The sequence below is a fragment of the Homo sapiens genome, chromosome 19, assembly GCF_000001405.40.
Source record: "Homo sapiens chromosome 19, GRCh38.p14 Primary Assembly".
NCBI classification, from domain to species: Eukaryota; Metazoa; Chordata; class Mammalia; order Primates; family Hominidae; genus Homo; species Homo sapiens.
In genome coordinates this window covers 8,290,289-8,302,126 of record NC_000019.10, presented here as the reverse complement: position 1 = coordinate 8,302,126, position 11,838 = coordinate 8,290,289, and the positions used below count along the sequence as shown (strand labels likewise).

At 51.6% G+C, this 11,838-nt stretch overlaps 1 annotated feature.

Annotated features, from left to right (window-relative positions):
* Positions 7,355 to 7,555: a silencer, noted in NCBI's record as "peak3333 fragment used in MPRA reporter construct". NCBI's record gives its function as "represses an SCP1 promoter by STARR-seq MPRAs in K562 erythroleukemia cells {active_cell/tissue: K562}" and the evidence as "EXISTENCE:reporter gene assay evidence [ECO:0000049][PMID:32103011]".

The following is an 11,838-nucleotide window of genomic DNA, read 5'->3' as shown; positions in this document are numbered from 1 at the left end:
CGCCTGCCTCTGGGTCTCTGTCTCCCTTGGCCTGGGCAGCCTGGGGTCGCTGCTGCAGCCCCTCCTCCATGAGAGCCCAGCCCATAGAAGGTGGGACATGGACACCCAGCCCTGTGTGCAGCTACTGTGCTGCTTGCTTTTTGGGAGCAGGGGCAGCAGGGCTGGGGTGGGGAGTCTGCGTTAACATCAGGATTCTTGGAAGAAGAGCAGAGCTTGGGCAGTGCCTTCCCATTCCCAGGTCTGGGGACCCCCACCCACTGTGGCTTCCTCCTCAGTGCAGTGGAAGCCAGGTTTCCTGGGATGGTCTCAGACTCACCCTGTTTTAATTATTTTTTAATTATGTTTTTAGAGACTGCGTTTTGGCCGGGCACAGTGGCTCACACCTGTAATCCCAGCACTTTGGGAGGCCGAGAGGTGGGCGGATCACCTGAGGTCAGGAGTTCGAGACCAGCCTGGCCAATATGGTGAAACCCTGTCTCTACCAAAAATACAAAAAATTGGTTGGGTGTGGTGGCAGGCGTCTGTAATCCCAGCTACTCGGGAGGCTGAGACAGGAGAATCCCTTGAACCTGGGAGGTGGAAATTGCAGTGAGCTGAGATCACGCCATTGTACTGCAGCCTGGGTGACAGAGTGAGACTCTGTCTCAAAAAAGAAAAAAAAGGTTTTATTATTTATCCTGGGCATCATAGGGATCTCTGCAAATTTTTTTTTTTTTTTTTTTTTTTGAGACAGAGTTTCGTTCTTGTTGCTGGGATTACAGGCATGTGCCACCCCACCTGGCTAATTTTGTATTTTTAGTAGATAAGGGGTTTCTCCATGTTGGTCAGGCTGGTCTTGAACTCCCGACCTCAGGTGATCCGCCCGCCTCGGCCTCCTAAAGTGCTGGGATTACAGGCGTGAACCACTGTGCCTGGCCTATACATTTTTTTTTAACTAGCTGTGGGTGGTGGTGTGCACTTGTAGTCTCAGCTACTTGGGAGGCTGAAGTAGGAGGATTGCTTGAGCCTGGGAGGTCCAGGCTGCAGTGAGCCGTGATCAGGCCACTGCATTCCAGCCTGCGTGTCACAGCAAGACTGTCTCAAAAAACAAACAAAAACAAGTAATGTACTTGAATCATCCTGAAACCATCCCCACCCCTGGTCCGTGGAAAAATTGTCTTCCATGAAACCAGTCCCTGCTGCCAAAAAGGTTGGTGACCGGTAAAGTTAATTCACACCCTGACTTCTGGGTGACAGGGCAAAGTTCCTCCCTTATCCTCAGCTTCTGAATCTCTGAATGGGATGTTGGGGGCCACAGTAGCCTCCTTGCAGGGGAGTGACCTCCCTGGGACCGTTAGAGATGGACTCAGATGGACCTGTTGCCCAGGTTGGAGTGCAGTAGTGTGATCACAGCTCACTGCAGCCTTGAACTGGGATCAAGAGATCTGCCTGGGCTGGGCACGGTGGCTCATGCCTGTAATCCCAGCACTTTGGGAGGCCAAGGTGGGCGGATCACCTGAGGTGAGGAGTTCGAGACCAGCCTGGCCAACATGGTGAAACCACATCTCTACTAAAAATAGAAATATTAGCCGGGTGTGGTGGCAGGCGCCTGTAATCCCAGCTACTTGGGAGGCTGAGGCAAGAGAATTGCTTGAACCTGGGAGGCAGAGGTTGCAGAGAGCCAAGATCCTGCCATTGCACTCCAGCCTGGGTGACAAGAGCAAGACTCCATCTCAAAAAAAAGAAAAATCCTCCTGCCTCAGTCTCCCGAGTTTTGGGATTACAGTCACATGTATCACACCCAGCTAATTTTTTATTTTTGTAAAGTCAGGGTTGGTCTATGTTGCCCAGGCTGGCCTCCAACACCTGATCTCAAGGAATTCTCCCACCTCGGCCCCCCACAGCGTTGGGATTACAGGTGTGAGCCACTGCATCCAGCCAGGTTTTTTCTCTAACGTTTTCTCTGTCACGAGTCAGCCTCGGCGGACAACAGGGTATGTCAGGGATATGTGTGCCCGGCTGTGAGGCTGGTGTGGGTGCCACATGCCACCTAAGTGGACCTCTAGGCTCTGGACCGTCCTGACTGTCATGCATTCTTGTTCTCAGTGGAGCAAACCGCCCCATGCCCACTGGCTCCAAACACCTGTTGTCGCATCCTCTCTCCTGGCTCTGGGCTGACCAGGCTCACTGGGGGTTCATTTGTTCCATGTGACAGTGGCTGCCATCATCTGGGGGCCAGGCTGGCTGGATGTCCCATCCAGAAGGTCTGTCATGTCTGGGATAGCTGACCTCTCCATGTGGCCTCTCCACGTGGACTCCTGAGCAAGGTGGCCACACTCCTGCCACGGTGACTTGGGGTTCCCCAACACACAAAGCAGAGAGACTGCTGGGTCAATGTTGCCGATGCTGTATTCTGTGGATTCAGTGGAGTCCAGGTCAGCCCAGATCCTGTGTGTGTGTGTGTGTGTGTGTGTGTGTGTGTGTGTGTGTGTGTGAGTGGGGGGAACACATAAGGGCCTGAACACCCTTTTGAGACTATCTCAAAAACATTATTTATTTATTTATTTATTTATTTATTTATTTTTGAGACGGAGCCTTGCTCTGTCTACCTGGCTGGAGTGCAGTGGTGCAATCTCGGCTCACTGCAACCTCTGCCTCCCGGGTTCAAGCGATTCTCCCGTCTCAGCCTCCTGAGTACCTGGGACTACAGGCCTGCACTAACACATCAGGCGAATTTGTTTTCTATTTGTAGTAGACACGGGGTTTCACCATGTTGGCCAGACTGGTCTCGAACTCCTGACCTCAGGCAATCCGCTCACCTCGGCCTTCCAAAGTACTGGGATTACAGGCGTGAGCCACAGTGCCTGGCCAAAAAAAACTTTTTTTATTTTTCTTTTTTTAAAGTCTCCCTCCTCCCCCTCGCCTTTTTTTTTTTTTTTTTTTTTTTTTTTTTTTTTTTTTGGTGGAGTTTCCCTCTTGTTGCCCAGGCTGGAGTGCAATGGCTCCATCTCGGCAAACTTTGCCTCCTGGGTTCAAGTGATTCTCCTGCCTCAGCCTCCCGAGTAGCTGGGATTATAGGCATGTGCCATCATGCCTGGCTAATTTTTTGTATTTTTAGTAGAGATGGGGCTTCTCCATGTTGGTCAGGCTGGTCTCAAACTCCCGACCTCAGGTGATTTGCCTGCCTTGGCCTCCCAAAGTGCAGGGGTTACAGGCGTGAAACACCACGCCCGCCCCCCTCCCCTCTGCCTTTTTTTTTTTTTTTTTTTTTTTTTAGAGATGAGGTCTTTCTACGTTGCCCAGGCTGGTCTCTTAACTCCTCAGCTCAAGTGATCCTCCCACCCTAGCCTCCCAAAGCACTGGGATCACAGGTGTGAGCCATGGTGTCCGCTGTTACCCACTCTTAAGGGGATTGTTTGAGACTAATGAGTCCTTTCTCTGCGGGTTGCCATTTGCACCAACAGAACAAGACCAGGTTCAGTAAAGCAAGATAGAAACTTTATTCGTCAATCAATGAATGGAGAAAGGGAGGAACTCCTGCTCAAAGTGCCTACTCCCTGCAGGTGTGATGAGGGGAGTTTTAAAGTTTCCTAGGGCATGTAGATGCAGACTGGGGGTGGGGATTCCTGGAAAGAGGTGGGGCTTTCTAGGGGGCACTGAAGTGTTCAGCCTTTCTTTTCTTTTGTACCTGGCATTATATGTGCTTAGCAAAGTGCACCTCTCCCCACTGAAGACTTTTTTTTTTTGGTTTTTCTGTTTTTGAGACAGAGTCTCGATCAGTCACCCAGGCTGGAGTGCAGTGGGGCGATCTCAGCTCACTGCCACCTCCGCCTCCCAGGTTCAAGCAATTCTCCTGCCTTAGCCTCCTGAGTAGCTGGGATTATAGGTGTGACCCACCGCACCCAGCTTTTTTTTTTTTTTTTTGAAACAGCACCTCACTCTGTTGCTCAGGCTGAAGTACAGTGGTGCGATCGTAGCTCACTGCAGCCTCGACCTTCTGAGCTCAAGCAATCCTCCTGCCTCAGCTTCCCAAGTAGGTGGGACTACAGGCATGCATCACCACGCCCGGCTAATTTTTACATTATTTTTTGTAGAGAGAGGGTCTTTTTTTTTTTTTTTCTGAGACTGAGTCTCGCTGTGTCGCTCAGGCTGGAGTGCAGTGGCACAATCTCAGCTCACTGCAACTTCTGACTCTCGGGTTCAAGCAATTCTCCTGCCTCAGCCTCCTGAGTAGTACAGGCGCGTGCCACCACACCCGGCTAATTTTTTTTTTTTTTGTATTTTTAGTAGAGACAGGGTTTCACCATGTTGGCCAGGGTGGTCTCAAACTCCTGACCTCGTGATCTGCCCACCTTGGCCTCCTGAAGTGCTGGGATTACAGGCCAAGAGAGGGTCTTACCATGTTGCCCAGGGTGGTCTTGAACTCTCTGACTTAAGCAATCCTCCCTCCTCACACTCCCAAAATGCTGGGATGACAGCTTGGAGCCATTGTGCCCTGGCTGTGGAGATTTTACTCTGCCCATGGAGTGAGGATTCAGGCAGATGGAGCACTGCTGAGGTCAGCTCTCATCTTGTGGCTCAGTTGTGGTTAATGGCATCCGGCCTTCATGCCTGTAAACTAGCACAGCTGTGAGCAGGGGTTAATTTCTTTTTTTTTGAGACAGAGTCTCGCCCTGTTGCCCAGGCTGGAGTGCAATGGTGTGATCTCGGCTCACTGCAACCTCTGCCTCCCAGGTTCAAGCATTTCTCCTGCCTCAGCCTCCTAAATAGCTAGGATTACAGGCACACACCACCATGCCTGGCTACTTTTTTGTATCTTTAGTAGACACCAGGTTTCACCATGTTGGCCAGGCTGGTCTCGATGTCCTGACCTCGTGATCCACCCGCCTCAGCCTCCCAAAGTGCTGGGATTACAGGTGTGAGCCACCATGCCCGGCCAGAGCAGAGATTAATTTCACAGGTTCTGGGGCTCCCTAAAAGAATGGATGTTATAGTCCGGGTGTGGTGGCTTACGCCTGTAATCTCAGCACTTTGGGAGGCTGAGGTGTGGGGGATCACTTGAAGTCAGGAGTTTGAGACCAGCCGCCTTTCTCACCCTCCCAAAGTGCTTGGATGACAGCTGGGAGCCAGTGCACCCTGGCTGTGGAGATTTTATTATGCCAGTGGAGTGAGGAATCAGGCCTATGGAGCACTGCTGAGGTCAGCTCTCATCTTGTGGCTCATTTGTGGTTATTGGCACTTGGCCTTTGTTCCTGTAAGCTAGCACAGCTGTGAGCAGCGGTTAATTTCTTTTTTTTTTTTTTTGAGACAGAGTCTTGCTCTGCCACCAGGCTGGAGTACAGTGGCGCGATCTCGGCTCACTGCAACCTCCGCCTCCCGGGTTCAAGTCATTTTCCTGCCTCAGCCTCCCAAGTAGCTGGGATTACAGGCGCTCACCACCACGCCCAGCTAATTTTTGTATTTTTAGTAGAGACAGAGTTTCACTATGTTGGCCAGGCTAGTCTCGAACTCTTGACCTCAGGTGATCCACCCACCTTGGCCTCCCAAAGTGCTGGGATTACAGGCGTGAGCCACCATGCCAGGCCGGATACAGGGTCTTTAAAGGGGTGATTAAGGCCAGGTGTGGTGGCTCACACTTGTCATCCCAGAACTTCAGGAGGCTGAGGTGGGTGGATTGCACAAGGCCAGCAGTTTGAAACCAGCCTGGGCAACATAGGGAGAGCCTGCCTCTACTAAAAATACAAAAAATTAGCTCGGTGTGGTGGTGCACACTTGAATCCCAGCTACTCAGGAGGCTGAGGCACGAGAAATACTTGAGAACAGGAGGCAGAGGTTGTAGTGAGCCAAAGATCCCACCACTGCACTCCAGCCTGGGCAAAAGAGTGAGAGTCTGTTTCAAAAAAAAAAAAAAAAAGCCTAAGTGTGGTGGCTCACGCCTGTAATCCCAGCACTTTGGGAGGCTGAGGCAGGTGGATCACCTGAGGTCGGGAGTTCAAGACCAGCTTGACCAACATAGTGAAACCCGTCTCTACTAAAAATACAAAATTAGGTGGGCATGGTGACACATGCCTGTAATCCCAGCTACTTGGGAGGCTGAGGCAGGAGACTTGCTTGAATCTGAGAGGCGGAGGTTGCAGTGAGCCGAGATTGTACCATTGCACTCCAGCCTGGGCAACAAGAGGGAAACTCCGTCTCAAAAAGAAGAAAAGAAAAAAAATTTTTTTAATTAGCAGGACTTGGTGGTGTGCACCCGTGGTCCCAGCTACTCAGGAGGCTGAGGTGGGAAGATTGCTTGATTCCAGGAGGCTGCACTGAGCTGTTAGCGCCACTACACTCCAGCCTGGGAGACAAAGCAAGGCCCTGTCTCAAAAAAAAAAAAAAAAAAAAAAAAAAAGCAGCTGCTGAGAGGTGACAGCGTGCTGGCAGCCCTCGCTTGCTCTCGGTGCCTCCTGGGCCTCCGCGTCCACTCTGGCCGCGCTTGAGGAGCTCTTCAGCCCACCACCGCACTGTGGGAGTCCCTCTCTGGGCTGGCCGAGGCTGGAGCCAGCTCCTTCTGCTTGCTAAAGGTGTGGAGGGAGAGGCGCGGGCGGGAACCCGGGCTGTGCGCAAGGGGCTCGTGGGACAGCGCGAGTTCCGGGTGGGCGTGGGCCCCCGCACTCAGAGCGGACAGCCGGTGCCACCGGCCCCAGGCAGTTGAGGGGCTTAGCACCCGGGCCAGCAGCTGTGGAGGGTGTGCCGGGTCCCCCAGCAGTGCCGGCCCGCCAGCGCTGCACTCGAATTCTCGCGGGGCTTCAGCTGCCTCCCGGCTGGGCAGGGCTCAGGACCTGCAGCCCCCCATGCCTGAGGCTTCCCCCTGCCCTGGGCTCCTGCTCCGCCCGAGCCTCCCTCATGAGCGCCACCCACTGCTCCACGACGCCTGGTCCCATCGACTGCCCAAGCCAAGAGGGCTGAGGAGTCCAGGCGTGTGGCAAGGGACTGGTGGGCAGCTCTACCTCTGACCCCCTGCGGGTTCCACTGCCTGAAGCCAGCTGGGCTCCTGAGTCTAGTGGGGACTTGGAGAGCCTTTATGTCTAGCTGAGGGATTGTAAATGCATCAATCAGCACCCTGTGTCTAGCTCAGGGTTTGTAATTGCACCAATCAGCACTCTGTATCTAGCTAATCTGGTGGGGACTTGGAGAACCTTTATGTCTGGCTAAGGGATTGTAAATACACCAATCAGCACTCTGTGTCTAGCTCAAGGTTTGTAAATACACCAGTCAGCACCCTGTGTCTAGCTCAAGGTTTGTAAATGCACCAATCAGTGCTCTGTGGGGACTTGGAGAACTTTTGTGTCTAGCTCGGGGATTGTAAACACACCAATCAGCACCCTGTCAAAATGGGCCAATCAGCTCTCTGTAAAACAGACCGGTCAGCTCTCTGTAAAATGGACCAATCAGCAGGATGTGGGTGGGGCCAGATAAGGGAATAAAAGCAGGTTGCCCCAGCTAGCAGTGGCAACTTGGGTTGTCTTTCATGCTGTGGTTGCTTTGTTCTTTTTCTCTTTGCAATAAGTCTTACTGCTGCTCGCTGTTTGGGTCCACACTGCCTTTATGAGCTGTAACACTCACTGCAAAAGGTCTGTAGCTACACTCCTGAGCCGGAAAGACCACGAACCCACCAGAAGGAGGAAACTACGAACACATCCGAACATCAGAAGGAACAAACTGTGGACACGCTGCCTTTAAGAACTGTAACATTCACCGCGAGGGTCTGTGGCTTCATTCTTGAAGTCAGTGAGACCAAGACCCCACCAATTCTGGATACACTGCTACATCGGGTCCTCATCCAATCTGCCTGGTGTCCCTACAAGAAGAAGAAATATGGACACTAAGAAATACGAAGGGTGCATGCAGAGAAGAGAGCATGTGAGGGCACACAGGAGGCGGCCGCGGCTCTGTAAGACAAAGCAAGGGGGCTCAGTAGAAACCAGCTCTGGGCCGGGTGCGGTGGCTCACGCATGTAATCCCAGGCGTGATCATTTGAGGTCAGGATTTAGAGACCATCCCGGAAATACGGCAAAACCCCATCTCTACTAAAAATAGAAAAATTAGCCGGGCGTGGTGGTGGGCGCCTGTAATCCCAGCTACTCGAGAAGCTGAGGGACGAGAATTGCTTGAACCTGGGGCTACTCTGGAAGCTGAGGCACGAGAATTGCTTGAATCTGGGAGGTGGAGGTTGCAGTGCAACCAAGATGGTGCCACTGCACTCCAGCCTAGGTAGCAGAGCAAGACTCCGTTTCAAAAATGAAAAGCAGAAACCAACCCTGATGACATCTTAATCTTGGACGTCAGCCTCCAGAAATGTAAGTTTCTGTTTTTAACCTACCCAAGCTGTGGTATTTTGTTATGGCCACCCTAGCAAACTGAAGCTAGTATGATAGCTCAGAAACTCTTTTTTTCATTTTTTTCTTCCTTAGAGACAGGGTCTTGCTTTGGCTCCCAAGCTGGAGTACGGTGGTGCAGTTATAGAATTATAGCTCACTGTAGCCTCAACCTCCCAGGCTTAAGAGATCTTCCCGCCTCAGCCTCCTGATTAGCTGGGACTACAGGTCTGCGCCACTGTGCCCAGCTAATTTAAAACAAAACAAAAAAATGTTTCATACAGATTGGTCAACATGGCCAGACCCCGACTGGTAAAAGCTGGTTAAAAAAGATACTTGTTGATGGTCAGGTGCAGCGGCTCACACTTGTTATCCAAGCACTCTGGGAGGCTGAGGCATGAGGACTGTTTGAACCCAGGTGTTGGAGATCAGCCTGGGCAATATAGTGAGATCTCATTTATACTAAAAAACAAACAAAAAAAATAGCTGGGCATGGTGGCACATACCTGAAGTTTCTGTAGTTGCAGCTACTTAGGAGGCTGAGGTGGGAGGATTGCTTGAGCCTGGGAGATGGAGGCTACAGTGAGCTATGATCACCCATTGCACTCCAGCCTGGGCAATGGAGCAAGATCCTGTCTCTAGAAAACAACAATAAAATATATCTGTTGAATGCTACTATGTATCAGTGCTGTTCCTGGTTCTAACCATGAACAAAATAGCCCTGAAAAAATAGGGCTGAGCCCGGTGGCTCACATTTGTAATCTCAGGACTTTGGGAGATCAAGGCAGGTGGATCGCCTGAGGACTGGAGTTCGAGACCAGCCTGGACAACATGGCAAAACCCCATCTCTACTAAAATAAATTAGCAGCTGGGTGCACTGGTTCATGCCTGTAGTCCCAGCACTTTGGGAGGCTGAGGTGGGCAGATCACCTGAGGTCAGGAGTTCTAGACCATCCTGGCCAACATGGTGAAACCCTGTCTCTCCTAAAAATACAAAAATTAGCTGGGTGTGGTGGCAGGCGCCTGTAATCCCAGCTACTTGGGAGACTGATGCTAGAGAACTGCTTGAACCCAGGAGGCAGAGGTTGCAGTGAGCCGAGATCTTGTCATTGTACTCCAGCCTGGGTAACAAGAGGGAAACTGTCTTTAAAAAAAAAAAAAAAAAAAATTAGCTGGATGTGGTGTAGTGCATGCCTGTAATCCTAGCTACTCAGGAGGCTGAGGCAGAAGAATTGCTTGAACCTGGGAGGCAGAGGCTGCAGTGAGCCGAAATCCGCCAATGCACTCCAGCCTGGGTGACAGCAAGTTCCTGTCTCAAAAAAAAAAAAAAAAAAAAAAAAAAGCTGGTGCGGAGATTCACTCCTGTAATCCCAGCACTTTGAGAGGTCGAGACCAGCCTGGCCAACATGGTCGAACCCGGTCTACTAAAAGTACAAAACTAGCCAGGCATGGTGGTGCATGCCTGTAATTCCAGCTACTCAGGAGGCTGAGGCAGGAGAATCGCTTGAACCTGGGAGGCAAGAGGCTGCAGTGAGCCGAGGTCATGCCATTGTACTCCAGCCAGGGCGACAGAGCGAGACTCTGTCTCAAAAGAAAACGAAAGAGCTGGGCGTGGTGGTTCACGCCTGTAATTCCAGCACTTTGGGAGGCTGAGGTGGGTGGGTCACCTGAGGTCAGGAGTTCGAGACCAGCCTGACCAACATAGTGAAACCCCGTCTTTACTAAAAATACAAAAAATTAGCCGGGCGTGGTGGCAGACACCTGTAATCCCAGTTACTAGGGAGGCTGAGGCAGGAGAATCGCTTGAACCCGGGAGGCGGAGGTTGCAGTGAGCCAAGATTGCACCATTGCACTCCAGCCTGGGCAACAAGAGCAAAACTCTGTCTCAAAAAAAAAAAAAAAAAAAAAAAGAGAAGGTGTTTCTGGTTGCAGTGGGGAGAACAGAACCTGCAGGGAGACCAGGGAGGGGACAACTGCACTGATCCCCAGAAGTCAGGAAGGGGCTGGACCTAGCTGGCAAGTGCAGGTGGTCAGTGATAACTGGCTTCTAGGTCTGTTTTGAAGGAAAAGGCGATGGGGGCTGTAGGATTGGCAGACACATTGGATGCAGGTGGGAGGAGGCGTGGATGCCTCAGAACTGTCAGAGCAGAGCCTGGGAAGATGGTGCTAACTGAGAGGGAGAGGACGCTCGGACAAGGCTTGGGTGGGAAACCCCTAGGAGTCCAGATTGGGACCTGCAACACTGGAGCGGCCTGCGAGGACCCCTTGTGGCAGAGGCTGAGAAGGCACTGGACCCTAGGGTTTGGGCTAGAATGATGAATTTGGGAATTGGCCCAGTTGGGCGTCTGTGGGCTGGAGAGGAGTGAATGCAGCCAAACCTTAGATGTTTTGGAGCTAAGGAAGAATCAGAAAACAGATGAAAAGTTGGGTGCGGTGGCTCACGCCTGTAATCCCAACACTTTGGGAGGTTGAAGCGGGCAGATCCCTTGAGGTCAGGAGTTCAAGACCACCCTGGCCAACATGGTGAAACCCGGTCTCTTGTAAAAATGAAAAATTTAGCCGGGTGTGGTGGCGGGTGCCTGTAATCCCAGCTACACGGGTGGCTGAGGCAGGAGAATCGCTTGAACCTGGGAGAAGGTTGCAGTGAGCAGAGATCATGCCACTGCACTCCAACCTGGGCAACAGAGCAATATTCTGTACAAAAAACAAAACAAAATGAAAAAGAGATGGAAGCGGGGCATGGTGGCTCACATGTTTAATCCTAGCTAGTTGGGAGGCTGAGATGGGAGGATTGCTTGAGTCCCGGAGGTCAAGGCTGGAGTGAGCTATTATTGTACCACTGTGCTCCAGCCAGGGCAACAGAGTGAGACCCTGCTGTATCTTAAAAAGGAAAAAGGGTTGGGCGTGATGGTTCACGCCTGTAATCCCAGCACTTTGAGACGCCAAGGTGGGTGGATGACTTCAGCCCGAAAATTTGAGACCAGCCTGGGAACATAGTGAGACCTCATCTCTACAAGAAATACAAAAATTATTTGGGTGTGGTGGTGCCTGCCTGTAGTCCCAGCTACTCAGGAGGCTGAACTAGGTGGAATGCTTGAGGCCAGAAGGTTGAGGCTGCAGTGAGCCCTGATCTTGCCACTGCACTCCAACCTGGGCAGCAGAGCAAGATACTAACTCGAGAAAAAAAAAAAAACTCATAGATTAAAGTTCATAGCAGCAGGTCCGGCAGCAAAAATTCACCTCTGTTCTCTTAGGATCCCTCTAGGCCTGAGAATTATTAAGTTGACATAAAATGGGTTAACAGGCAGGGCGTGGTGGCTCACGCCTGTAATTCCAGCACTTTTGGAGGCCAAGGCAGCTGGATCACCTGAGGTCGGGAGTTCGAGACCAGCCTGACCAACATGGTGAAACCCTGTCTCTACTAAAAATACAAAAATTAGCCAGGTGTCATGGTGGGCACCTGTAATCTCAGCTACTTGGGAGGCTGAGGCAGGAAATT